The following is a 26,677-nucleotide window of genomic DNA, read 5'->3' on the forward strand; positions in this document are numbered from 1 at the left end:
GAAATGCAGAAGACTACACCCACTGCCTAACCAGTCCCAATGAGATGAACAGGGTACCTCAGTTGGAAACACAGAAATCACTTGCCTTCTGCATTGGTCTCACTGGTAGCTGCAGACCGGAGCTATTCCTATTCAGCCATCGTGCCAGATCTAAGACATGTTAAGCATTTTTTTATATACTTGTTAGCCAGTTGTATCTCTTCTTTTGAGAAATGTCTATTCAGATATTTTGCCCATTTTTTAATAAGAGTATTTGTTTGTTTGTTTTTGAGTTGAGACTCTTGTATATTCTGAACATTAGTCCTTTGTAAGTTGAATAGCTTGCAAATACATTATCCCATTACGCAGGATGACTCTCCATTCTGTTGGTTTTTTTCCTTTGCTGCACAAAAGCCTTTTAATTTAACAGTCTCATTTGTCTATTTTTGCTTTTGTTGAGTGTGCTATTGAAGTTTTACCCATCAAATTGTTGCCTGGACAGATGTCTGCAAGTGTTTTCCCTATGTTTTCCTCCAGTAGTTTTATTGTTTGGGGTCTTACATTTAAATACTTAATCCATTCTGAATTGATATATGGCATATTAATATCCACGTTTCCCAGCACCAATTGTAAACATACATTCCCCAATGTATATTACTGGTCTCTGTGTCAAAAATGAGGCAACTTAAAATATGTGAATTTATTTCTGAATTCTCTATTCTGTTCCATTGGTCTATGTGTCTGTTTTTACTGTCAGGTCATTTTTTATAAAACTAAAACTCAACCCACTTCACATAAGTGACATGAAAGGAAATTCTTCATGGGTAAAAGTTTGAAGTCTTCCAATGTGCAATCTTGGGCTACATATTTCAGTGTTCAGTGCTCCACTCTTCCACTCCTCTCCAGGCCTTTGCTTTTAAGCTTTGAGTGCAAGTCATTCTTACCCTCTAGAGTAAGTCCAGTTAAGGGCAGTGGCTGTGTTTAATTCATCTTCATACACTTCTCAGCACCTAGTACAGTGCTGTGCATGCAGTATATTTGCTCTCTATACACACATGTACAGATGGTTGATTGTTTTTCTAGCTTGCAGGTCTTGCTTCCATTTGATATGAGACTCAGTAACCCCAGCTGAATCACTGAATCCCTCTTGCTATGAACTCTACAGCCGGCTGCATAGAGCTCTTTGTGTGAAAATAAGCTTATTATCAAAACATTCCACACCTGAAATTCAGTCTGTTCATTGGATGCTAATATCAAGACAATCTTTGAAATCACTAGGCATATACACATTAATTATTGCATCATGTAATAATACTAAATTGTGAATTAATTTTATCTGTGACTATCTACTAGAAGGATTCCATAGACTGCAAACCAAGTGAACTGAAAAGTGAGGAAATGATGCTTCCTCATCCCCACCATCTAAATGAAAAATTCCCTACTTATTTTTTTCCAGCTGTCTGACTTTTTATGTCAGACAATGTGTTAAATATGCCCTTTCCTTATTTACCGCACCTCTAAAAGAATAGGCAGCTCCATTGTGAGTGTGTCTATTATTTTAGGAAATTATAGCTGAAAATTAACATGATGCCTCCTCATTCTAGGATTCTCAAACTGACTCAATCCATGAGACATGTATCATTGTATTCAAAACCTAATGGGCATTTTGTTAGACAACAAATGGTCTCTAAGATTTCCAACAAAAAACTTTGAAGCTTCTGGTTGAGCAATCATTAAACCCTCCCACTGGCACACTCCAGTAATTTCATTTATGGTAGTGGACTTGAATGAAGTACTTTCAGTTTCATATTACTCTAAATCCATTACAAATATGCTTAACCTTTAAATATTTCATCACTGAAGAAATCCCAGCCCTACAACGTTGGAACAGTAAAATATTAGTCCAAGGATCCAGTGAGAGACACAGAAGTGCTAGAAGCCACTCCTCATGAACTAAGGAGAAAAAGAACAGGTAAGAACTTTTACTACTTCTCATTAAGCAGCTTTCTCTTTAGCTCCAAAGGATCTCAGCTCAGGGATATGGAACCCATAAGGTTGTGGCAGGGATGGGAAGGAATTTATAAAGGTCAGTTCATTTTCTTAAACATCGTCAGAACCAAATTAGGCTGCAGATGAGCCTGAAGTGGGACGCAGGTCAGATGAAATCCTGGTGTTATCAGGGACAGCATGGCCTTAAGTGACACTACAGTGTTTGTGTTGAATTAGGCACCAGTAGACAGGGGCTAAACTGAGAGTTTGAAATGCACTAGGATAGTCTTTCTCTTTGTTGTCATTCTCTGTGTTGACTGGAGACATGATTACATTTCCATTATCAGTGATGGAGCTTGCTGAATCCTGCTCCTATGCAGCTAAGAAATGGAAAGAGCTACAAATGGGTTCTTTTCATAAGGAAAGAACAGCAAATGAGAAGCAGAGTAATCAGCCCACTGACATGGTTAAAGACAAAGAAAAAACTGAAACTCAGCCTGAAAGATGAAGATTCATGAAAACAGTATACTTTTTATTACACTTGTGAACTTCGTTTCAGAATGGATTACTTTCTTTAGAAATAGTCCAGACTCACTAATTTCCTAGTGCCCACTGATCCCTGTCCCTTAGAAGTGAAATTCAACCCCACTGCTTCACTAAAGTGCTTCCAATTTTGTCTTCTTTTAGTAGAGACTGGGGCCTAAAGTGTTTCCTCTTTAATTCTCCTGTAATGCATCTCTAGAGAAAATATCTTTGCTTATTTTAACCTCTCTATGCAATCAGACTACTTTAATCCTGCCTTCTGGAAAGTCCTCGCCTGAATTCCTTGTCAAGACACTAGCCTCATTCATCACCTTCTGGTCTGATAGCTCTTTCTCGCTCTCTCTCTCTCTCTCTCTCTCTCTCTCTCTCTCTCTCTCTCACACACACACACACACACACACAAACACACACACACCTTCCCAGCCCCTTCTCCTCCTCCTCTCCACTCCTACTATTCCTCCTCTATTTCTCTTTCTCCTACCCTACCAAATGGAAAACAGAACAAAACAGAAATCCTAAAGCTGTATCGCTGGAAATATATTTCATTTGAACAACTTCCTAGGTAGCTCTCTTTATCTGCCTCTTGATCTTTTAATCCTTATTTCATTATCTGGGGGAAACATTCAGCATTTGCAATTTTGCATTCATACCCTCACTGAGTTAGAGGCTACCTTATTGTGACTCTAACGCAGCTTAAGTTTCAGGGCCCTTCTCTTGGACATGACCCTTCAGAGTCCTTGGAAGGTTCCTCAGCCATGTGTTTCACATGTTTGTATAGTTTTCTAAAATTTGCAAAAGTATGTTACGTTGTTTCCACTTCCAGAATGGCACCGTGAAAAGCTTTATTGATCCTCATTGCGGTGAAATAAGCATAACCACTTGAAGATGGAGGAAGGAACACATTTAAAAATCTTTGGAAATTGTTCTAAGGGTAAACATCAAACTATGAATACTGATTCACTGTATTATTCACTGTAAGAATTAATAAGTAAATCAATATTGAATTCCTTATACACAGCCAGGATGCAAAATAAATCCTCTAAATCCTGTTCTATCTTCCATTAATTGACTAGTGAAAATATTTAAAAAGAATCCAAAAAGAAAGTTTTCCACTATAAATTAAATGAAATATTTGAGTTGTGAGCATAGTTGAGTGTTGATGAGGCAGGAAATTAAAGAAAAATACAATTAAAAATAAAAAGAAATAAGTTTTCCTGTATTAGGCTGACTTGTCCCAGAGGCAGCAACAGGCACAGACCAGACCCAGGAAAAGTCTTGATAATACTATCTAAGGTGCTCTGGAGACTCTCCCAGCACTCCCTCAACATAGGAAGAAGAAAAATAAATTTTCCTTTGTTTTATGGAAAAGTTTGTAGATTCCTGTTCTCTGTAACTAGTGACTTCAAGTATTCTGTTTTATCTAAGAAGTAGAGTGAAGGTCATGAGAAGCCTGAATAGGCCTGAACTACAGCTGCCTGGGCACCATAGTGAAGGTTATAATATAAACCAGTGCAAGGCTCTTTAGAGCAAAACGTAGATAACAGACATCTGGGTTGCTTGGCAATGGTCATGTGTAATCCTGAGTTTGTCCTGCCTCTATATCCCTGCTTTCATGCCACTGTAAGCTTGCTTCAAGCTAGCCCACCTGCTTTTGTGAAGTGTGTATAAAAGTCAAGTGCTGTCTTTGCATGTGAGTGTGCTGGGGCCTGAGTGTACTCAATAAAAATTCTCCTGTTTTAACCCGAGGTCTCTCTCTCGTCCTCCTGGATCCCACAACATTGATAAGTCACTGTCATGCTAACATTTTTTGTAATGAGCTACTTTGACAATACTTCCATAATTTTCTCAAATGATACAGATTTTGCCTCATCTCTCTCGCTGTCACACACAAAACTTTTGGCCATAATGGGGAATCTTATGATTCTCCCTTATAATTGCAAAACACTAGAAACTCTCATTTATTTCACCTCTTCTCTTGCAGACAAGGGAACACCCCAGACATGGTATCAGAGATCCACATGACAGGCCCAATGTGCCTCATTGAGAACACTAATGGGCGACTGATGGCGAATCCAGAAGCTCTGAAGATCCTTTCTGCCATTACGCAGCCTGTGGTGGTGGTGGCGACTGTGGGCCGCTAGCGCACAGGAAAATCCTACCTGATTAACAAGCTGGCTCAGAAGAAAAAGGGTGAGTGGCATGAGCAAAGCTCTGCCAAGTCCCTTCTGTCCATCTACACAGTCAGCCTCCATCATGAGGATGTGAAGAGAGAAAGAGATGAGGATGAATATGGAAAGCTAACTTTCCATTCACAGTCGGGCTCCTTATCTTCACGCTGCTCTAAGGGATAATTTTAAATTCATTAATTATTCCCATGATACATTAGTTTCCCTTTCAAAAGCACAAACTGTGCCTTTCCTAAAAGGAGTAAGACTGTAATAAAAATAATTAATGTACATAATAATAACTATAATAAACTACAATTTTTATGCCATAACAGCGAGTTTACAGTGATCTTTAAGGTTGAAAAAATGTTTGTCTGTATTGGATATTCTTTTTTATTGTTGTAAAAAAATAACATAAAATTTAACCTCGTAACCATTTTTAAGTGTACAGCTCTGTGGCATTAATTAAATTCACATTGTTATACAGCTGTCACCTCCATCCATATCCAGAAATCTTTCATCTTGCCTAACAGAAACTCTGTACTAACTAAACAAAAGCTCCACATAAACCCATTGCCTGCCATCATTCTACATTCTATCTCTATGAATTTTACTACTACAGAAACCTCATATAAGTGGAATTATTCAATATTTGTCCTTTTATGACTGGCTTATTTCAATTCATATGTCTTCAAGGTTCATCAGTGTGTTAGCATGTGTCAAAACTCTTCCTTTTTAAGGCTTAGTAATTGTACATGTATACTAATTTGTTTATCTCTTCATCTGTCAATGGACAATTGGATTGCTTCCACCTTTTGTCTATTATAAATAATGCTAATAGGAACATGGGTGTCTGAATATCTGTTCAAGTCCCTGCTTTCACTTCTTTTGGGAATATACCCAGAAGGGTAATTGCTGGCTCATGCAGTCATTCCATGTTAACTTTTTTTTTTTTTAAGAAATCACTATACTATTTTCCACAGTGACTGTACTGTTTTACATTCCCAACAGAAATGCACAAGGGCTCTAATTTCTCTACCTCCTCACCAACATTTTTTATTTTCAGTGTTTTTTTTGATAGTGGCCATATGAATGGATGTTAAGTAGTATCTCACTATGGTTTTGATTTTCATTTTCCTAATGACTGGTGATACTGGGCATCTTTTCATGTGCTTATTGGCCACCTGTATATCTTCTTTGGGAAAATGTCTATTCAAGTCCTTTCTTCATTTATTTTTTTTTTTTAAATTCAGAAAAATTTTCTTCCACTTGAAAATGTTAAAACTCTTCATTAAACAACTATTAGATCAAGTAGAAAATACAAATCAAAATAGGTGAACATATAAACATCAAAATAGTGATATATATATCAGAATCTATGGAATATAATGAAAATAATTATCAAAAACAATTTGTAGTCTTTAAATCATATATCAATAGAATTATAAATTAAAATACATAAATCTAATGTGAAACACAGAAAGCTAGAAAAAAGATCAAGAAAATAAAGCAAAAGGAAACATAACAGACATAAAGAGATAAGAGCAGAACTTCAGTTAGTTCTGATTGTAAGCTATGTTATAAATTAATCAACATGCTAGTTCTTTGAATAGAACATAAACAAAATATGCAAACCAACATCCAACCTAATCAAGAAAAACAGGGAGAAAACAAAGTTACACAGAATAATACACGAAACAAGAGGAAATCATACTAAAACTAAGGACATTTTTAAACTTTTGAGTTAAATCATTTTACACAGCTCTAAGCAGGTAGATATAAAAGCCTACATAAAATGGGTAATCCCATAGGGAAATTATTAACAGTGATACCAATGGAGACAGAAAGTTTAAGAAAATGAGAAAGTTATTAAATTACTACTCCCACCCAAAAGTACAAGACACAGATGACTTTATAATGGAATTTTATGAATTTTTCAAATATTAGATAATACCAATGCTACATAGACTGTTCTTAAAAAGAGATTGCCAAGCTATGGCCAGTGGGACAAATATGGCCTGCCGGTTATTATTTTATTTTATTTTATTTTATTTTTTAAATCAATGTATATTTTATTTTATTTTATTATTTATTTATTTATTTATTTTTATTATACTTTAAGTTTTAGGGTACATGTGCACATTGTGCAGGTTAGTTACATATGTATACATGTGCCATGCTGCTGCGCTGCACCCACTAACTTGTCATCTAGCATTAGGTATATCCCCCAATGCTATCCCTCCCCCCTCCCCCCACCCCACAACAGTCCCCAGAGTGTGATATTCCCCTTCCTGTGTCCATGTGATCTCATTGTTCAATTCCCACCTATGAGTGAGAATATGCGGTGTTTGGTTTTTTGTTCTTGTGATAGTTTACTGAGAATGATGATTTCCAATTTCATCCATGTCCCTACAAAGGACATGAACTCATCATTTTTTATGGCTGCATAGTATTCCATGGTGTATATGTGCCACATTTTCTTAATCCAGTCTATCATTGTTGGACATTTGGGTTGGTTCCAAGTCTTTGCTATTGTGAATAATGCCACAATAAACATACGTGTGCATGTGTCTTTATAGCAGCATGATTTATAGTCCTTTGGATATATACCCAGTAGTGGGATGGCTGGGTCAAATGGTATTTCTAGTTCTAGATTCCTGAGGAATCGCCACACTGACTTCCGCAATGGTTGAACTAGTTTACAGTCCCACCAACAGTGTAAAAGTGTTCCTATTTCTCCACATCCTCTCCAGCACCTGTTGTTTCCTGACTTTTTAATGATCGCCATTCTAACTGGTGTGAGATGATATCTCATTGTGGTTTTGATTTGCATTTCTCTGATGGCCAGTGATGATGAGCATTTTTTCAAGTGTTTTTTGGCTGCATAAAGGTCTTCTTTTGAGAAGTGTCTGTTCATGTCCTTTGCCCACTTTTTGATGGGGTTGTTTGTTTTTTTCTTGTAAATTTGTTGGAGTTCATTGTAGATTCTGGATATTAGCCCTTTTTCAGATGAATAGGTTGCAAAAATTTTCTCCCATTTTATAGGTTGCCTGTTCACTCTGATGGTAGTTTCTTTTGCTGTGCAGAAGCTCTTCAGTTCAATTAGATCCCATTTGTCAATTTTGGCTTTTGTTGCCATTGCTTTTGGTGTTTTAGACATGAAATCCTTGCCCATGCCTATGTCCTGAATGGTAATGCCTAGATTTTCTTCTAGGGTTTTTATGGTTTTAGGTCTAACTTTTAAGTCTTTAATCCACCTTGAATTAATTTTTGTATAAGGTGTAAGGAAGGGATCCAGTTTCAGCTATCTACATATGGCTAGCCAGTTTTCCCAGCACCATTTATTAAATAGGGAATCCTCTCCCCATTGCTTGTTTTTCTCAGGTTTGTCAAAGATCAGATAGTTGTAGATATGCGGCGTTATTTCTGAGGGCTCTGTTCTGTTCCATTGATCTATATCTCTGTTTTGGTACCAGTACCATGCTGTTTTGGTTACTGTAGCCTTGTAGTATAGTTTGAAGTTAGGTAGTGTGATGCCTCCAGCTTTGTTCTTTTGGCTTAGGATTGACTTGGTGATGTGGGCTCTTTTTTGGTTCCATATGAACTTTAAAGTAGTTTTTTCCAATTCTGTGAAGAAAGTCATTGGTAGCTTGATGGGGATGGCATTGAATCTGTAAATTACCTTGGGCAGTACGGCCATTTTCACGATATTGAGTCTTCCTACTCATGAGCATGGAATGTTCTTCCATTTGTTTGTATCCTCTTTTATTTCCTTGAGCAGTGGTTTGTAGTTCTCCTTGAAGAGGTCCTTCACATCCCTTGTAAGTTGTATTCCTAGGTATTTTATTCTCTTTGAAGCAATTGTGAATGGGAGTTCACTCATGATTTGGCTCTCTGTTTGTCTGTTGTTGGTGTACAAGAATGCTTGTGATTTTGGTACATTGATTTTGTATCCTGAGACTTTGCTAAAGTTGCTTATCAGCTTAAGGAGATTTTGGGCTGAGACGATGGGGTTTTCTAGATATACAATCATGTCGTCTGCAAACAGGGACAATTTGACTTCCTCTTTTCCTAATTGAATACCCTTTATTTCCTTCTCCTGCCTAATTGCCCTGGCCAGAACTTCCAACACTATGTTGAATAGGAGTGGTGAGAGAGGGCATCCCTGTCTTGTGCCAGTTTTCAAAGGGAATGCTTCCAGTTTTTGCCCATTCAGTATGATATTGGCTGTGGGTTTGTCATAGATAGCTCTTATTATTTTGAAATATGTCCCATCAATACCTAATTTATTGAGAGTTTTTAGCATGAAGGGTTGTTGAATTTTGTCAAAGGCTTTTTCTGCATCTATTGAGATAATCATGTGGTTTTTGTCTTTGGCTCTGTTTATATGCTGGATTACATTTATTGATTTGCATATATTGAACCAGCCTTGCATCCCAGGGATGAAGCCCACTTGATCATGGTGGATAAGCTTTTTGATGTGCTGCTGGATTCGGTTTGCCAGTATTTTATTGAGGATTTTTGCATCAATGTTCATCAAGGATATTGGTCTAAAATTCTCTTTTTTGGTTGTGTCTCTGCCCGGCTTTGGTATCAGAATGATGCTGGCCTCATAAAATGAGTTAGGGAGGATTCCCTCTTTTTCTATTGATTGGAATAGTTTCAGAAGGAATGGTACCATTTCCTCCTTGTACCTCTGGTAGAATTCGGCTGTGAATCCATCTGGTCCTGGACTCTTTTTGGTTGGTAAGCTATTGATTATTGCCACAATTTCAGAGCCTGTTATTGGTCTATTCAGAGATTCAACTTCTTCCTGGTTTAGTCTTGGGAGAGTGTATGTGTCCAGGAATTTATCCATTTCTTCTAGATGTTCTAGTTTATTTGCATAGAGGTGTTTGTAGTATACTCTGATGGTAGTTTGTATTTCTGTGGGATCGCTGGTGATATCCCCTTTATCATTTTTTATTGCGTCTATTTGATTCTTCTCTCTTTTTTTCTTTATTAGTCTTGCTAGCGGTCTATCAATTTTGTTGATCCTTTCAAAAAACCAGCTCCTGGATTCATTGATTTTTTGAAGGGTTTTTTGTGTCTCTATTTCCTTCAGTTCTGCTCTGATTTTAGTTATTTCTTGCCTTCTGCTAGCTTTTGAATGTGTTTGCTCTTGCTTTTCTAGTTCTTTTAATTGTGATGTTAGGGTGTCAATTTTGGATCTTTCCTGCTTTTCTTGTGGGCATTTAGTGCTATAAATTTCCCTTTACACACTGCTTTGAATGCGTCCCAGAGATTCTGGTATGTTGTGTCGTTGTTCTCGTTGGTTTCAAAGAACATCTTTATTTCTGCCTTCATTTCATTATGTACCCAGTAGTCATTCAGGTGCAGGTTGTTCAGTTTCCATGTAGTTGAGCCGTTTTGAGTGAGATTCTTAATCCTGAGTCCTAGTTTGATTGCACTGTGGTCTGAGAAATAGTTTGTTATAATCTCTGTTCTTTTACATTTGCTGAGGAGAGCTTTACTTCCAAGTATGTGGTCAATTTTGGAATAGGTGTGGTGTGGTGCTGAAAAATATGTATATTCTGTTGATTTGGGGTGGAGAGTTCTGTAGATGTCTATTAGGTCTGCTTGGTGCAGAGCTGAGTTCAATTCCTGGGTATCCTTGTTGACTTTCTGTCTCGTTGATCTGTCTAATGTTGACAGTGGGGTGTTAAAGTCTCCCATTATTAATGTGTGGGAGTCTAAGTCTCTTTGTAGGTCACTCAGGACTTGCTTTATGAATCTGGGTGCTCCTGTATTGGGTGCATATATATTTAGGATAGTTAGCTCTTCTTGTTGAATTGATCCCTTTACCATTATGTAATGGCCTTCTTTGTCTCTTTTGATCTTTTTTGTTTTGACATCTGTTTTATCAGAGACTAGGATTGCAACCCCTGCCTTTTTTTGTTTTCCATTTGCTTGGTAGATCTTCCTCCATCCTTTTATTTTGAGCCTATGTGTGTCTCTGCACGTGAGATGGGTTTCCTGGGTACAGCACACTGATGGGTCTTGACTCTTTATCCAATTTGCCAGTCTGTGTCTTTTAATTGGAGCATTTAGTCCATTTACATTTAAAGTTAATATTGTTATGTGTGAATTTGATCCTGTTGTTATGATGTTAGCTGGTTATTTTGCTCATTAGTTGATGCAATTTCTTCCTAGACTTGATGATCATGCAAAATTTTGGCATGATTTTGCAGCGGCTGGTACCGGTTGTTCCTTTCCATGTTTAGCGTTTCCTTCAGGAGCTCTTTTAGGGCAGGCCTGGTGGTGACAAAAATCTCTCAGCATTTGATTGTCTGTAAAGTATTTTATTTCTCCTTCACTTATGAAGCTTAGTTTGGCTGGATATGAAATTCTGGGTTGAAAATTCTTTTCTTTAAGAATGTTGAATATTGGCCCCCACTCTCTTCTGGCTTGTAGGGTTTCTGCCGAGAGATCTGCTGTTAGTCTGATGGGCTTCCCTTTGTGGGTAACCCGACCTTTCTCTCTGGCTGCCCTTAACATTTTTTCCTTCATTTCAACTTTGGTGAATCTGACAATTATGTGTCTTGGAGTTGCTCTTCTTGAGGAGTATCTTTGTGGCGTTCTCTGTATTTCCTGAATCTGAACGTTGGCCTGCCTTGCTAGATTGGGGAAGTTCTCCTGGATAATATCCTGCAGAGTGTTTTCCAACTTGGTTCCATTCTCCCCATCACTTTCAGGTACACCAATCAGACGTAGATTTGGTCTTTTCACATAGTCCCATATTTCTTGGAGGCTTTGCTCATTTCTTTTTATTCTTTTGTCTCTAAACTTCCCTTCTCACTTCATTTCATTCATTTCATCTTCCATTGCTGATACCCTTTCTTCCAGTTGATCGCATCGGCTCCTCAGGCTTCTGCATTCTTCACGTAGTTCTCGAGCCTTGGCTTTCAGCTCCATCAGCTCCTTTAAGCACTTCTCTGTATTGGTTATTCTAGTTATACATTCTTCTAAATTTTTTTTCAAAGTTTTCAACTTCTTTGCCTTTGGTTTGAATGTCCTCCTGTAGTTCAGTGTAATTTGATAGTCTGAAGCCTTCTTCTCTCAGCTCGTCAAAGTCATTCTCCATCCAGCTTTGTTCCGTTGCTGGTGAGGAACTGCGTTCCTTTGGAGGAGGAGAGGCGCTCTGCTTTTTAGAGTTTCCAGTTTTTCTGTTCTGTTTTTTCCCCATCTTTGTGGTTTTATCTACTTTTGGTCTTTGATGATGGTGATGTACGGATGGGTTTTTGGTGTGGATGTCCTTTCTGTTTGTTAGTCTTCCTTCTAACAGACAGGACCCTCAGCTGCAGGTCTGTTGGAATACCCTGCCGTGTGAGGTGTCAGTGTGCCCCTGCTGGGGGGTGCCTCCCAGTTAGGCTGCTCGGGGGTCAGGGGTCAGGGAACCACTTGAGGAGGCAGTCTGCCCGTTCTCAGATCTCCAGCTGCGTGCTGGGAGAACCACTGCTCTCTTCAAAGCTGTCAGACAGGGACATTTAAGTCTGCAGAGGTTGCTGCTGTCTTTTTGTTTGTCTGTGCCCTGCCCCCAGAGGTGGAGCCTACAGAGGCAGGCAGGCCTCCTTGAGCTGTGGTGGGCTCCACCCAGTTCGAGCTTCCTGGCTGCTTTGTTTACCTAAGCAAGCCTGGGCAATGGTGGGCGCCCCTCCCCCAGCCTCGCTGCCGCCTTGCAGTTTGATCTCAGACTGCTGTGCTAGCAATCAGCGAGACTCCGTGGGCGTAGGACCCTCCGAGCCAGGTGCGGGATATAATCTCGTGGTGCACCGTTTTTTTAAGCCCGTCGGAAAAGCGCAGTATTCGGGTGGGAGTGACCCGATTTTCCAGGTGCGTCCGTCACTCCTTTCTTTGACTGGGAAAGGGAACTCCCTGACCCCTTGCACTTCCCAAGTGAGGCAATGCCTCGCCCTGCTTCGGCTCGCGCACGGTGCGCGCACCCACTGACCTGTGCCCACTGTCTGGCACTCCCTAGTGAGATGAACCCGTTACCTCAGATGGAAATGCAGAAATCACCCGTCTTCTGCGTCGCTCAGGCTGGGAGCTGTAGACCCCAGCTGTTCCTATTCGGCCATCTTGGCTCCTCCTCCTTTATTCATTTATTAATCTGGTTGTTTATCTGTGTTGCTTTGTAAATTTTTTTTATATTTTCTAGATATAAATCCCTTATCATATACATGTTTAACAAATATTTTCTTACATTCTGTGTGTTGCTTTTTTTTAACTCTGTTGATAGTGTCTGTTAATACACAAAAGTTTTAAATGTTGATGAAGTCAACTAATCTATTTTTTCTTTTATTGTCTATACTTTTGGTTTCTTATTAAAAAAAATCATTGCCAAATCCAATATTATATAACTTTTACCCTTGTTTTCTTCTACAAATTTTATAGTTTTAACTCTAATGTTTGGTTCTTTGATCCATTTTGAGTTCATATTTGTAAGTTATAAGGTAAGAGCCCAACTTTTTTTAAGGAGATATCTCATTTCCTCAACATCATTTGTTAAAGAGACTCTTCTTTCTTAATTAAATGATCTTGACACCCATCCTGGAAATCACTGACCATATATGTCAGAGTATATTCATGGGCTGTCTTTTCTATTCCATTGGTTTATATGTCAGTCTTTATACCAGTACCACACATGGTTTTGTAATAAGTTTCAGAACTCAGAAACTGTAAGACTCCAACTTTGCTCTTCCTCTCTTCCTTTTTAAGATTATTTTCATAATTAGGGGATCTCTGGAAATTTCATATGAAAGTTATGGTAGATTTTTCTATTTATACAAAGTAATTGGAATGTTGGTAGAATTACCTCAAACCTGTACATCACTTTGGGTAGTAGTGACATCTTAAGAATATTAAGTCTTCCAATTCATAAACGCAGGATGTTTTTCTAATGATTTATGTCATCTACAATTTCTTTAAAGGGTGTTTGAAGTTTTCACTCGACAACTCTTGCGCCTGCTTGGTTAAGCTTATTCCTAAGTGATTTATTCTTTTGATGCTGTTAAATGGGATTGTTTTCAAAATTTCCTTTTCTTTTTGTTTAGGAAGGAAATTAGAATTCCTGTTCTAATTCTATTTTTATACACTAGCAACTGATTTCTCCATATTGGCTTTGCATCCTGCAACTTTGATGAATTCTTTTAATAGTTCTAATAGTTTTTTGTGGAATATTTAATGTTTTCCACAAATTAGATACTACCGTCGGCAGACAGAGATAATTTTACTTTTTCATTACCAATTAGGATGCCTCCTTTATGCTTTTCTTGTCTAATTACTCTGGATAGGACTTGCAGTGTTCTGTGGAATGCAATTGGCAAAAGTAGGCATCCTTTTCTTGTTCCTGATGTTATAGGAAAAGCTATGACACTTCATCATTAAATGTGAAGTGAGCTGTGGGTTTTTAATATATGGCCTTTATTATGTTGAGGTATTGTCTTTCTATTTCTACTTTGTTGATTATTTTTATCGTGAAAGCCTCCTGAATTTTTCCATGCATTGGATATTCAAATTTCCTATTTCTTTGATTGTAAGTAAGTAAGGTGAATACTGATTGTTGTTTCAGTTCTCTCTCTTAACCTTAAAATACGCTACCTTTTCCTTCAGTTGCTAGAACTGCCTGTTACTAAATCCCCATCTCTGGTCTCCTCTCTCCCTTGCAGGCTTCTCTCTGGGCTCCACAGTGCAGTCTCACACTAAAGGAATCTGGATGTGGTGTATGCCCCATCCCAAGAAGCCAGGCCACATCCTAGTTCTGCTGGACACCGAGGGTCTGGGAGATGTAGAGAAGGTGAGACTCAAGGATCCAATTGTGGAGTGAGCCCCTCTTCTCTGAATATTTTATGCACTGTTTAATTGTTTATTAACCATTAACTACAGGCTGTAATATGTGTGGGTTAACACAGATGCATAAAGGGAGCACAAATAATCCCAGTGTCATGAGTCTTATCCTGCACAGAACTTTAGTTAAGAATTTGGGTGCTAAAGCCCCGTGACTTTGTATTTAAATTTAAATTCTGTCACTAATTCAGTAGCCTGAGAAAATTGACCTATTTTAGCCTCAGCATTCTAAGCTTTAAAATGTATGGAAAAGACCTATGTTGGCCACATAGTATAATTTTGAATATTTAATAAGAAAATACGTGTCAGGTGTATATTAATTATTCGATAAAACAGCAACTAATAGTACCAATCTTATATGTGAATTCTGTTATTGAAAAAAGAAGAGAAAATTTTAAATTTACATTGTACTCAGGCCTTAAAATGCCCACCAACCTTGAATTTTAATTTTACAATTATCTGTTGATGATCATTAGAAGACCTAGTAAGGATCATTGTAACCCAAAACATTCATCGAAAAACTACCCAAAAGCCACATCCTACTGAGAATACTTTTTGTATTTGGCTTCTTTGATAGGTCATTAGTGCTAAAGAACAAACAAACAAAAAACCAAAAACCCTCTAACATATGAACATAGTTTTACTACTCTTACTCTGGAAAGTGCTGTGACTACGAAACGTGCTCCTGACTCCAGTGTGTCTTGACTTCCAGGGTGACAACCAGAATGACTCCTGGATCTTCGCCCTGGCCGTCCTCCTGAACAGCACTTCCATGTACAATAGCATAGGAACCATTAACCAGCAGGCCATGGACCAACTGCAGTATCCTTTGTGACCCAGAACAGCACCAAGGTCAGAGGGCACCTGTGTTCATAAACCAGCTGCCTGACTGTGAATCCTGATGAATCAAGCTCAAAAGGAGAAAACATAAAATACATAAAGTACAGAGGAGTGATCCCATATATCCACTTTAGACTTGACACTTAGGTTAAGAACAAAGGAAAATGGAAGGTTTGGGAATGTGTTGAACTAATATGGGATGAGGTCCATGTTCATTTTGTCACATTTCTTTAGTTAGCTACTCAGCTATGTGACAGAGCTGACACATCGAGTCCAACCAAAATCTTCACCTGATGAGAATGAGAATGAGGATTCAGCTGACTTTGAGAGCTTCTTCCCAGACTTTGTGTTGACACTGAGAGATTTCTAGCATTACAGAAAGCGCTTTTGGACAAAACTGTGATAAAATAAACTAAATGGAGGACTTTTTTTTATTGGAATAGTTTCATTTGTTTCATACATATTGATCAAATGCTTACTATGAATAGACTGAAGATACAGATATAAATGAAATAGATATGGTTCCTGTCCTAATGTTGCTTGGGGTTAAAATGGATGCAAACATTCAATTAACACAGGTCTATGTAATCTAGTACAAGAACTCTCAAATGTTGGTATGCATACGTATCTTCTGAGGATCTTACCAAAGACAAAAGTCTAATTCAATAGATCTTGGACAGGGTCTAAGAGTCTGTATTTCTGAAAAAAAAAAAAAAAAAAAAAAAAAAAAAGAATTACAGGGAATAGAGACTTTCTTTACTACAAGAAACATTAGCATTTGTTCTCCATAGGCAGGTCTAGAGAGCCTGGTGCTGACCTATGTCAATGCCATCAGCAGTGGGGATCTACCCTGCATGGAGAACGCAGTCCTGGCCTTGGCCCAGATAGAGAACTCAGCCGCAGTGCAAAAGGCTATTGCCCACTATGAAAAGCAGATGGGCCAGAAGGTGCAGCTGCCCACAGAAACCCTCCAGGAGCTGCTGGACCTGCACAGGGACAGTGAGAGCAAGGCCACTGAAGTTTTCATCAGGAGTTCCTTCAAAGATGTGGACCATCTATTTCAAAAGGAGTTAGCGGTAATTTTTGTCTCAAATTTATATGGTTTAGGGTCATGGAAGACAAAGTACTACAAAGAAAGAAAACGAGTATTATTTTGATAGAAGTAATTCTTCCTAGCTTTCATAATGGTGACAACAACAGATTTGTAATCACATCAATCAAGAGGACCAACTGTATTATTACAGACTCAAAGTTTTAAAACATTTTTTCCTGAATAATTTTCCCTTTACCTAAATGCATACAACTGATAACCAGAGCTTCTAATAAAATTACCTGCCCACTCTTCTCAGACTGATTTGATATTCTAGCCAAACACAAAGAAAACTTTCATCCTGCTTATCTTGAGCATGCTTCTGTTCAGCCACATTTATTCCATATGAAATCATTAGTCCAATATGCAAAACCAGAGTTTTCCTCTAACGGTTGACATAAAGCTATCAATCTCGGTCCTGAACCTCACCTCCAAAAAGAAAGCGACTTCAGTAGAAAGTGGGGTCAGAAGGAAGAGTGTGGTCCTGGTGAGGAGTCTGTCAATTTCTCCAGCATCATTGACTTTTATTTTCAGAAGTCATTCCCGAAATTCTGAGGTCAAGCTAACATCCTTTCCCTGTTACTCTTTTTACTTCCTATTTTTACATTAAAGGCCCAGCTAGACAAAAAGCGGGATGACTTTTGTAAACAGAATCAGGAAGCATCATCAGATCGTTGCTCAGCTTTACTTCAGGTCATTTTCAGTCCTCTAGAAGAAGAAGTGAAGGCGGGAATTTATTCGAAACCAGGGGGCTATCGTCTCTTTATTCAGAAGTTACAAGACCTGGAGAAAAAGTACTATGAGGAACCGAGGAAGGGGATACAGGTAACCAAAATTCATCTGTCGATTATGGAAACCTGCTGACCTGCCTCCTACAAACACCAAGGTGACCAAGCTTCACTGCACACAGATGTGCTTTTTTGTTTGCATAACATTCATGCTTTCATTCAATAACATATGCAAAGAGGCTGTTATTCCAGATATGCCCTAGGTGCTCATCAAGGAGAGTGCAATTAACTACTGAGTTACAAATTCAACTAGCAGATGAAGCACCAAGTTGTCATTATCATCATTACAGCTGGGCTTTTCCTGTTGCAAGAGACAGGAACCTAATGATGGCTGCTTAAACAAAAATAGTAATTCATTGATTTAGGCTGCAAACTGGCTTTACAGGACAGGTGGGTCTAAGGTTTCAAGTAACATCATGAACTGTCTCTCTGTCCAGTGTTCCCCCATCCCCACAGTTTTCTCCCTCCCACCCTCCCTCTATCTGAGTCACTCTGATATTTGCTTTCTCAATGATGGCTTCATTCCCCAGCAGGCTCAGCCCATATGGGACCACAGCATTAACAGTTCCAAACTTAGAGCCCTTAATCTAAACAGGACAGAGACTCTCCTTTTCCCAGTATCTATATTAGCCTACTAAAAATGACTGCTAAGTAGGATGCTCTGATCAGCTTGCCAGGAGCATGTGCCTCTCGCTCTGACAGGGAATTTCACCACCAAGGACAACAGGGCAAAGGAAAGAATTCCCAGAGGAAAGGATGGCAGGAAGACAAACAGGAACACCTGCTTACAGCCGTCTCCTACTTCTCACTTTGTGTTCTCTGGGTCCTAAGGCTGAAGAGATTCTGCAGACATACTTGAAATCCAAGGAGTCTATGACTGATGCAATTCTCCAGACAGACCAGACTCTCACAGAAAAAGAAAAGGAGATTGAAGGTGAGGAGTGAGTTAAGAGATTAGATGGCCTCAAAAGCTCCAAAAATTGAAATAACTTGACTGGATAAACATGGGACCCTTTAACTAGAGCAAGATCCACAAAGGTGTGTCTTACTTGCCGAGGTCATCTCTGAGTAGGGCATATGCAGTCAGCAACAACGACAGGTAAGTGTATAAGGAACAATGAGGCAACAAGATAACCCCACACAAATTTTCCTTCTTTCTTTTCCTCCACAGTGGAACGTGTGAAAGCTGAGTCTGCACAGGCTTCAGCAAAAATGTTGCAGCAAATGCAAAGAAAGAATGAGCAGATGATGGAACAGAAGGAGAGGAGTTATCAGGAACACTTGAAACAACTGACTGAGAAGATGGAGAGCGACAGGGTCCAGTTGCTGGAAGAGCAAGAGAGGACCCTCGCTCTTAAACTTCAGGTGTCTAATTGCATCACCTTGAGGTTTCTGTTTTTCTGTTTTCTCTCCATTCTCCCCGATCACAGGCTTACTGTGGCAGAGAGAACATGAAGCCCAGGGGAAGAACCCTGCTTGCTTACTTGTACTTTTCAATTCCTGTCTGTCCAGCCTGAACTGGCTACTGCCAAGTCTGGTCACTAAACTGCAAATATTGCAGTTGTGTCACATTCAGTGCTTTATCTATATATCCTTCATTTCAAGGCAGGTATTATCTGCTAGCCATCATTAAAGTATCTGTATCTCTTGCTTAATACCATGTGAAGCAAGAACTATATTCTTATTACTTAGGAGAAGAAACAAAGTTTCCAAAAATAATAAATAAATAGAGTCACACAGCTAGTAAATGTATCAAAGCTGTCTTCATCACTTAGTGGAATCCACAATGATTATTTTTTTCTGTGACACCTAGTATGAAATTAAACTTAAGAAAACCTTTGTGAGCAGAAAGTCTCCTAACCCTCACACCTGTGTGATACTCTGCTAATTCTGACAATTTTTTATGTCCTGCTCCCAGTTTGTTTTGAGTTGTGAGCTATATGCAGAAACTCAGTATGGTCAGTCTGGCACTCAGATTTCTTACCTATCTTCTGCTACCCCTGACACCAAGGTGTGGCAGCTTAGATCAAATTTCCTAATCCATGATTCATACACCTTATGAGATTTTGAGGATACTTTGTTTATTTCTGTGTTATGTTATATACATACTAGTGTAAGGAACATGGCTGTGCTTTGGTCAAGGATAGGCCAAAGTACGATGTTTACATCTTGCATGACTCAGCGAGTCTAGAGCACAGGTGTATAACTCCACTTGTCATCACAGCCATGCAGACATAACATAGAGAAGCTCACCACCATAGCCATAACATAGGGAAGGCCATCACTTGGCTCTAAGCCACTATTGTCTATAAAAGGTATAATTCCCTGTTGACACTGTGCAGGTGCTGGCGCCCAAAGAGAAAGCCAAAGCTGTCCGTCTTTGCAGACAGAGAGGAACCAGGACACAGCTCAGGCCACTCATGCCTAGAGAGAGAGAAAGAGTTAAGCTGCTGACCCTGAAGGCAGGGAAGAGCCGGCTGCACAGCTGTGTGGGGGGCTGCCAGGCTAAGCAGCCAAGACAAGGCAGACAGTGTAGACAGCTAGTGTGAGAAAGCTGTTAAGAGCTGGTGCTGAATAAAATCATATTCACCTGCCCACGGCCCGCTGAGTATTCTTTCGGCTCATCCGCCCATTCCCTCCCGACCTCAGCATGACCTGTGGCATAGTCGTGAGCCTGACAAATAGTAAACATGTAGGTAGGTATATAAAAGAATGTATAATGCATAGATAAGAGTTGAAGCCAAACATATGATCAAGATTGCCCACCAAGGCTGTATACAATTAATGGGGGGAAAATCAAGCCTGGTAATTTAGGTTCATCAAACATAGCAAAATGTATGGCTGAAACTCTCTCTTAGCTAAAGGATTCGCAGGAGAAGAAATCACTGAGCCTGGATGCCCAAGCAAAAGTATAATGAAAATTAAGGCTAGAGAAAAGTTTAAGAGAAAATTAAATAACAAATCATTGAATGTGGAAACCAGATAGAATATTTCAATTTTCCCGATGCCACACTTTATTCAGCCTCCGTTTGTCCCTCTTTAGGAACAAGAGCGACTACTAAAAGAGAGATTTGAAAACGTAAGCAGAAGAATCCAAAATGAGATACAGAATCTCCAGAGGACAATGATACAACCAAGGACATGTACCATAAACTAAAGACCAGAGCCTTCCTGTCACCCCTACCCAAGGCATAATTGAAACAATTTTAGAATTTGGAACAAGCGACACTACATTTGATAATAATTAGATCTTGCATCATAACACCAAAATTTATAAAGGCATGCAGTACAATGATCAAAATCATGTTTTTTCCAAAAAAAAAAAGACTGTAAATTGTGCAAAAAAGATGCATTTACCTCTGTACCAACTCAGGAAGGTTCATGAGCTGGTACCACCCAGGAGTTTATTCTTCCAGATGACCAGCAGTAGACAAATGGGTACTGAGCAGAGTCTTAGGTAAAAGTCTTGGGAAATATTTGGGCATTGGTCTGGCCAAGTCTACAATGTCCCAATATCAAGGACAACCACCCTGGCTTCTTAGTGAAGACAATGTACAGTTATCCATTAGATCAGGGCTACACAGTCTATGAGCAATAATGTGATTTGTGGACATTGCCCATGTATTGTCCTCACTGATGATTTCAAGCTAAAGCAAACCACCTTATACAGAGATCTAGAATCCCTTTATGTTCTCCAGAGGTAGGTGGAAGAAACCATGAGCAGGAGCAGGAATTGAGTGATAAACAAATGGGCTAAAGAAGAAAACTTTTCTTCTTGTTCAGTTCATCCAGATTATAACTTTAATGGGACACTTTAGACCATTAGACAGTTGACACTGGATTAAACAAAGTCACATAATGCCAATTACACACTGTATTTATGGCAATGTATAATTTGCAAAGATTGACTTTAAAAGATGCTGTGTAACAGAATTGAATTAATTCAATTACTTATTATTTAGAATGCTAAAGCTTATGCTAGTCTTTTCTAATTCTTAACACTCATACTTGAAATCTTGCTGAGTTTCCCCAGAAGAGAATATCGGATGTTTTTTGACATTTTTGACCCATTTAATAATGTTCTTGTGTTTACTTAGTATACATAGACTTTATCTCATGTGTCAAAAGTCCTAGGAAAGTGGTTGATGTTTCTTATAGCAATTAAAAATTATTTCTGAACTGTAAATACAATGTATTTCACTAGGCTTCTTATTTCTGATTAAGTTTTCTTTTTGCAGTTATTTTTGTCAGAAAAGAAGGTTTTAGTCTTTATAGCAATGGTTGGCAATCTTTTCTGAAAATACCAGATAGTAACTATTTATGACTTCGCAGGTCATACAGTCTGTCTCAAGTACTCAGCTCTGCATGTAGTGCAAATGCAGCCATAGAAAATACATAAACCAATAGGTGTGGCTATGTTCCAATCAATTTTTATTTTCAATAACAGGGTGGCACCCATAAGCCATAGTTTGCAGAACTCTGATTTACAGACACATTGGTCAAAGTTTTATATACCGGCCTTGTGTAACTCACACGTACAAAAATCATATGGATTAGATTATATATATTAGAATCTTGAAAAAACTATGTGGTTATTCAAAATAACACAGTGAGAAAAAAGGAGGGAAGCAGTTAATGCCATTAAATCCACATTAATAATTCTGTCTTTTCTAATTGCTTTGAGGCCTTTTATTACCTTGAGCTACCTCTGATCCAATCACATGGCAAATGCCTCCTTTCATAATAGAGCATGGTGCTGTTTCCTCACTTGAACTGAAACTTCATAGAAGACCAGGTGAGACCACAGAATACTAGATGAAATGTTCATGTAGGTAAGCTTTATATTTTCTTCCAAGCTCCATTGCTACAAAGGTGTAAATAAAATACATTTTTATGAGTTGAAGTAACTTCATGGTAGAAAATAATAACTCTGCCTTCAAAAGCAAATAATGGTTTCTTTGTTAACCAATAAAGCATAAGAAAATGAAAAATCAGCAAAACTGAGTTACTTCCTCCCCAGTTTGGTAGCATTAATATTTAGACCACATTCCAAAGCATCTGACTTGGTTTAGTACTTTTCTCTAGCATATGCCAGAATAGAATCAAGCTCTCTCCAGGGAGGCATGTTGCTTTCCTGCCCTTAGACCCTCCAATGGTGTGCAAGTGTGCAGGCTATGGTGAGTGGGGCCAGGAAATCACCAGGCCCCTGGATGGCATGCTTGGGTCCCAGTGGCAGGTGACCTGGGCCTGCTGTCAGACTTCCTGATGTTGCATGCACATGCCCACAGCTACAGTTGAGGCAGCATGATCCCCAGGCCCTGGGCAGCATGTTTGCATGGTGGGTGGTGTGAGAGCCTGTCCTCAGGACACAGAACAGTGTCTGGGTAGACCAGCTCCAGGACCATTGGAGGCACATGCAGATGCTTGGTGGCCCTGCTTCCGGTGGAAGGTTGAGAGGGTTGCTGTTGGTGGCAGTGGCCCCAGGCAAGTGGCTTTCAGAAACTGAGGAGTGTGCATTTAGGCTCCCTTTGTCCTGGGGGCAGCCTCCCTGGTGTGGTGCACTGCTGTTCCTTACTGCACCACTGGATTCAGCCCACGGGACAAAGTTGCAGCCCTCTGGGTGGAAATGAAGAGATGTCCGCAGGGTTCCAGGGACGTGGAGATGATGGGGCTGTTCGCCCCAGAGCAAGATACAGTCTGATGGGGGCTGGGCTTTCAAAATAGTGCTGCACGGCAGCTCCTTGAGTCTTGGGAGTGTCAGTTACCTAAACCAATGCAGGCCGTTTGCCTGATTGCAATGGAAAGCCAAACAAGGAAGCACAAGGATTTTTTAGAGGGAAAGGTTTATTTTTAGTCGACTAGGAAGTAGATGGGAGAAATGTTCAAATTTGTCTCTCAGATCTGGGGGTTGGGGCAGGTTTTATAGACAGCGGATAATGAGGTAAGATCTGACTGCATCGTGCCATGAGGTGATGTCAGGGCTGGATGTGATCAGATCACAGATTAAGCCCTGAGGTGTCTCCTTCTTAAATCAGCCCTGCTCCTTGGTCCAAGTACTTAGGTTCCACCGTGGTTGCATGCCAAGTGTATCTAGGCATACTCAGGTAACATAACCTGAAACCAGGTGTCCATGGCAACTGTAAAACAACGCATTATTTTATTACACAAACTTGAACCACACTGGGCTGGTTCTGCAGTTTCAAGTCCCCTTTTTTTGGTTTTTCATTTCTCAATCTTGTGGGAGAATGGGCGACAAGCACTCTAGCACTTCCGGCTGATTGGGGCACAGACCTTGGTTAGAGGAATAAAATTGTTTAGCACGGTGTTGTACGACTTCCCTGATATCAAGGTAATGTTTCAGAAGGAGTTGTTTGATTCAATTTTAGGAAAATGCATAAAGTGTTAGCAACTTAAACATTTTCTTCCAGAGAACAGAAAGAATGCTCAGGTTTTATAGCCAAAGTTCCCACACAGGTTCCCAATCAGGTCCGTTCATTCAATTGAGAATTAAAACTCGAAACTCACTTAGTTCTGATTGGTCAACCCAACTGAGTGCTAATGGGTCAATACAGCTGAGCCCTGATTGACAGAGGCAGGTGAGCTGAAGAGCCCCAAAATAATAAGGTATGTGTTTTGGGTGAACTCAGAACATGTGTGTGTCCCCTCGTTAGCAAATGGCCCCTTGGCTCAACTTGAAATGCAGGCCCAGTTAGCCACTCAGGATGCATCTTGAAAGACTGGCTCAAACTTGTTGGCAGACAGCACTGCATTCCATCACGGCATGGAAGTGATTAGCTACGTGCTTCAGGTTTATCTGGTCTCTTCTAGGGATCCTGGTGGCAGAGCAGTGGCCAATTGAGCAACTAGAGCCATTTACTTACAAAAGGCACTCAGGTACCTGTTAGATTCTAATCAAAGTCTCGTAGGTTATGTTGATTCTGGTTCCTGTCTGGAGTAAATTTAAAGTCTCATGGGTTAGGTCAGCATGATCCAAGTCTCTTGAAGATATCTGTTAAAACAGGCTAGAAGAGCTGGGCGCAGTGGCTCACACCTGTAATCCCAGCACACTGGGAGGCCGAAGTGGGCAGATCACCTGAGGTCGGGAGTTTGAGACCAGCCTGACCAACGTGGGGAAACCCCATCTCTACTGAAAAATACAAAATTAGCCGGGTGTGGTGGCACATGCCTGTAATCCCAGCTACTCTGGAGGCTGAGGCAGGAGAATCGCTTGAACCCGGGAGGCAGAGGTTGCAGTGAGCCAAGATCCCACCATTGCACCGCAGCCTGGGCAACAAGAGCAAAACTCCATCTCAAAAAAAACAAACAAACAAACAAAACAAAACAAAACAAAAAAAAACGAACAACAAAAAACCAGGCTAGAACAATTTCAGGAGTACCCAAATGATTAGCCCAAATAGAAGGATCATTTCAGATCTGTAGGATAGAACACAGAAGGTATCCTAGACTAGAGACAAAAGCCAACTTAAAATATCTGGAAATTGTACATTAAACCAGGAAGTCTAGCCAGGAGGCTTTTTGAAGGGTTCCCTTTCAGAGATTTGGCTAACTTTAGGATCTTAGATGTTTCCAATTCAATCTAATTGGATGTATTTACCCAGGTGCAGCAGCAAATGTTAGCAACAGCACAAACATCACCCTGTACAGCAAGGAGATAGTCGAAAACAATGTAGTTGTCTAGGACCACATGAGCAAGGGAGTTTGGGACTTCTGCTGTGCTCTGATGGTTTGGCCAGTAGAGCAGGTCATTCTATTAACAGTACAAGAAAGATTTCTGACCATATATTCATTCCAAGCAAGGCATAGTCCAAACCTGGACCCCAGTAACCTTCCTGATCTAGCTGCTTTGCTAGAGTTAATCCTTCTGGGTAAATCACATCTTTGGTAATATCCCCAGCTAAAATCTAAAGATTATCATTGGTGTTCAGTTGTGTCTCCAAGACTCTCAGGTAGCTCTTTGGGTAGCAGTGGTGAGACTAGCTGAATAGATTAAAAATTGGGTTATTCATTTCTGTAGCCAAATCTCCTGGTGAGAATAACCTAAATATTATTTTTGCCTTTTGGTAGAAGGAAATATGGGCCTGATAGGTTTCTAAGAAGTCTTCAGGCTCATGTGCTTGGTCACTGTTTCTTTATCCCACCAAATATTCCCTTATCAGACCTTGAAACCCCATCTCTCCCACATCCTGTTTGTCCTATATTCTTAAAACTCCCACATGAAACACCTTCTTTCTGTAAGGATTGATGGTGGTGTTGTTTCCATGACCAAATCCAGACTGATTCACCAACATTTTGTATAAGAATAAAATTCTAATAGAGAATGATTCCAACATTCCCAAAAGCGTTCACTGTTCTGTGCCCCTACACTTTTCCCACAGTATGAGTACTGGGTAAAAACAGATGAGTGTTTTGACTAGAAGATGGTGTCTATAAAGCCATGGTCTGACAACATTGATTTAGACTATGTTTATTCTATACAGATACACAATGCTATGTAACTTCTTTGTATACTCTCTCATCCTGAACACACATTTTATAAATATGTATGAAATTTCAAAACAGGCCTGGCATGGTGCCTCATGCCTATAATTCAGCACTTTAGGAGACCAAGGCAGGTGGATCGCTTGAATCTAGGAGTTTGAGACCAGCCTGGGAAACATGGCAAGACCCCATCTTTACCAAAAAAAAAAAAAAATAGTCAGATGTTGTAGTGCATGCCTGTGGTCCCAGCTATTTGAAAGGCTTAGGCAGGAGGATCACTTGAGCTGGGGAGACAGAGGGTGCAAAGAGCTCAGATGGCACCACTGCACGCCAGCCTGGGTGACAGACCCAGACTCTGTCTCAAAAAAAAAAAAAAAAATCAAAACAGAAATTAGGAAAAATATTTGTTAAACTCAACTCTTTATTATGTTAAAAAGAATTTTGATAATTTCAACAAATGGTTTATTTGGAATTTCCTATAACACTAACTGTACACGGATATGTTACAATGCATTGCATTATTTTGTACTGATTGCTAATAGCAACTGGATGAGCAAAATCATAATTAAATTGCAAGAAAATTAATATTCAATACATAATTGATTAGATGAAACAGGAAAATCTTACAAAACAATGTATAATAATGCAGCTGCAAAGGAATCACTATTTTCTCACACTATTAATTTTTTTATTATATGCTCCAACAAGAACATTGTTTACTATGTTATACTTGGTTCACAGTGCAGTCTTCTCTTGATAATCATATCATGTTCTATTAAATGGAATTCTCTTGACTGGGGTTTCTACATTTTTTAAAATGTGAATTAATATTAGGAAGGATGTGAATCTGAGTAGTCATAGAAAGGGTTAGCATTGTGGACAACATTATTTTAATTCCA

General features: G+C 39.4%; 1 pseudogene across 1 annotated transcript, besides 1 other annotated feature; it reads left to right on the forward strand.

Moving 5' to 3' along the window:
* The first annotated feature begins 1,871 nt into the window (after positions 1–1,871).
* Positions 1,872–19,127, forward strand: GBP1P1 (guanylate binding protein 1 pseudogene 1; annotated as a pseudogene). The gene is made up of 5 exons (NR_003133.2): positions 1,872–1,951; positions 4,493–4,701; positions 14,384–14,511; positions 15,274–15,413; positions 18,451–19,127. The product of NR_003133.2 is annotated as a guanylate binding protein 1 pseudogene 1 (transcript).
* Positions 11,926–12,506: an enhancer, noted in NCBI's record as "NANOG-H3K27ac-H3K4me1 hESC enhancer chr1:89883292-89883872 (GRCh37/hg19 assembly coordinates)". NCBI's record gives its function as "activates a minimal SCP1, AML or CMV promoter by ChIP-STARR-seq in naive H9 embryonic stem cells {active_cell/tissue: H9 hESC(naive)}" and the evidence as "EXISTENCE:reporter gene assay evidence [ECO:0000049][PMID:30033119]".
* Positions 19,128–26,677: the final 7,550 nt, after the last annotated feature.

Source organism: Homo sapiens, chromosome 1 (genome assembly GCF_000001405.40).
Source record: "Homo sapiens chromosome 1, GRCh38.p14 Primary Assembly".
NCBI classification, from domain to species: domain Eukaryota; kingdom Metazoa; phylum Chordata; class Mammalia; order Primates; family Hominidae; genus Homo; species Homo sapiens.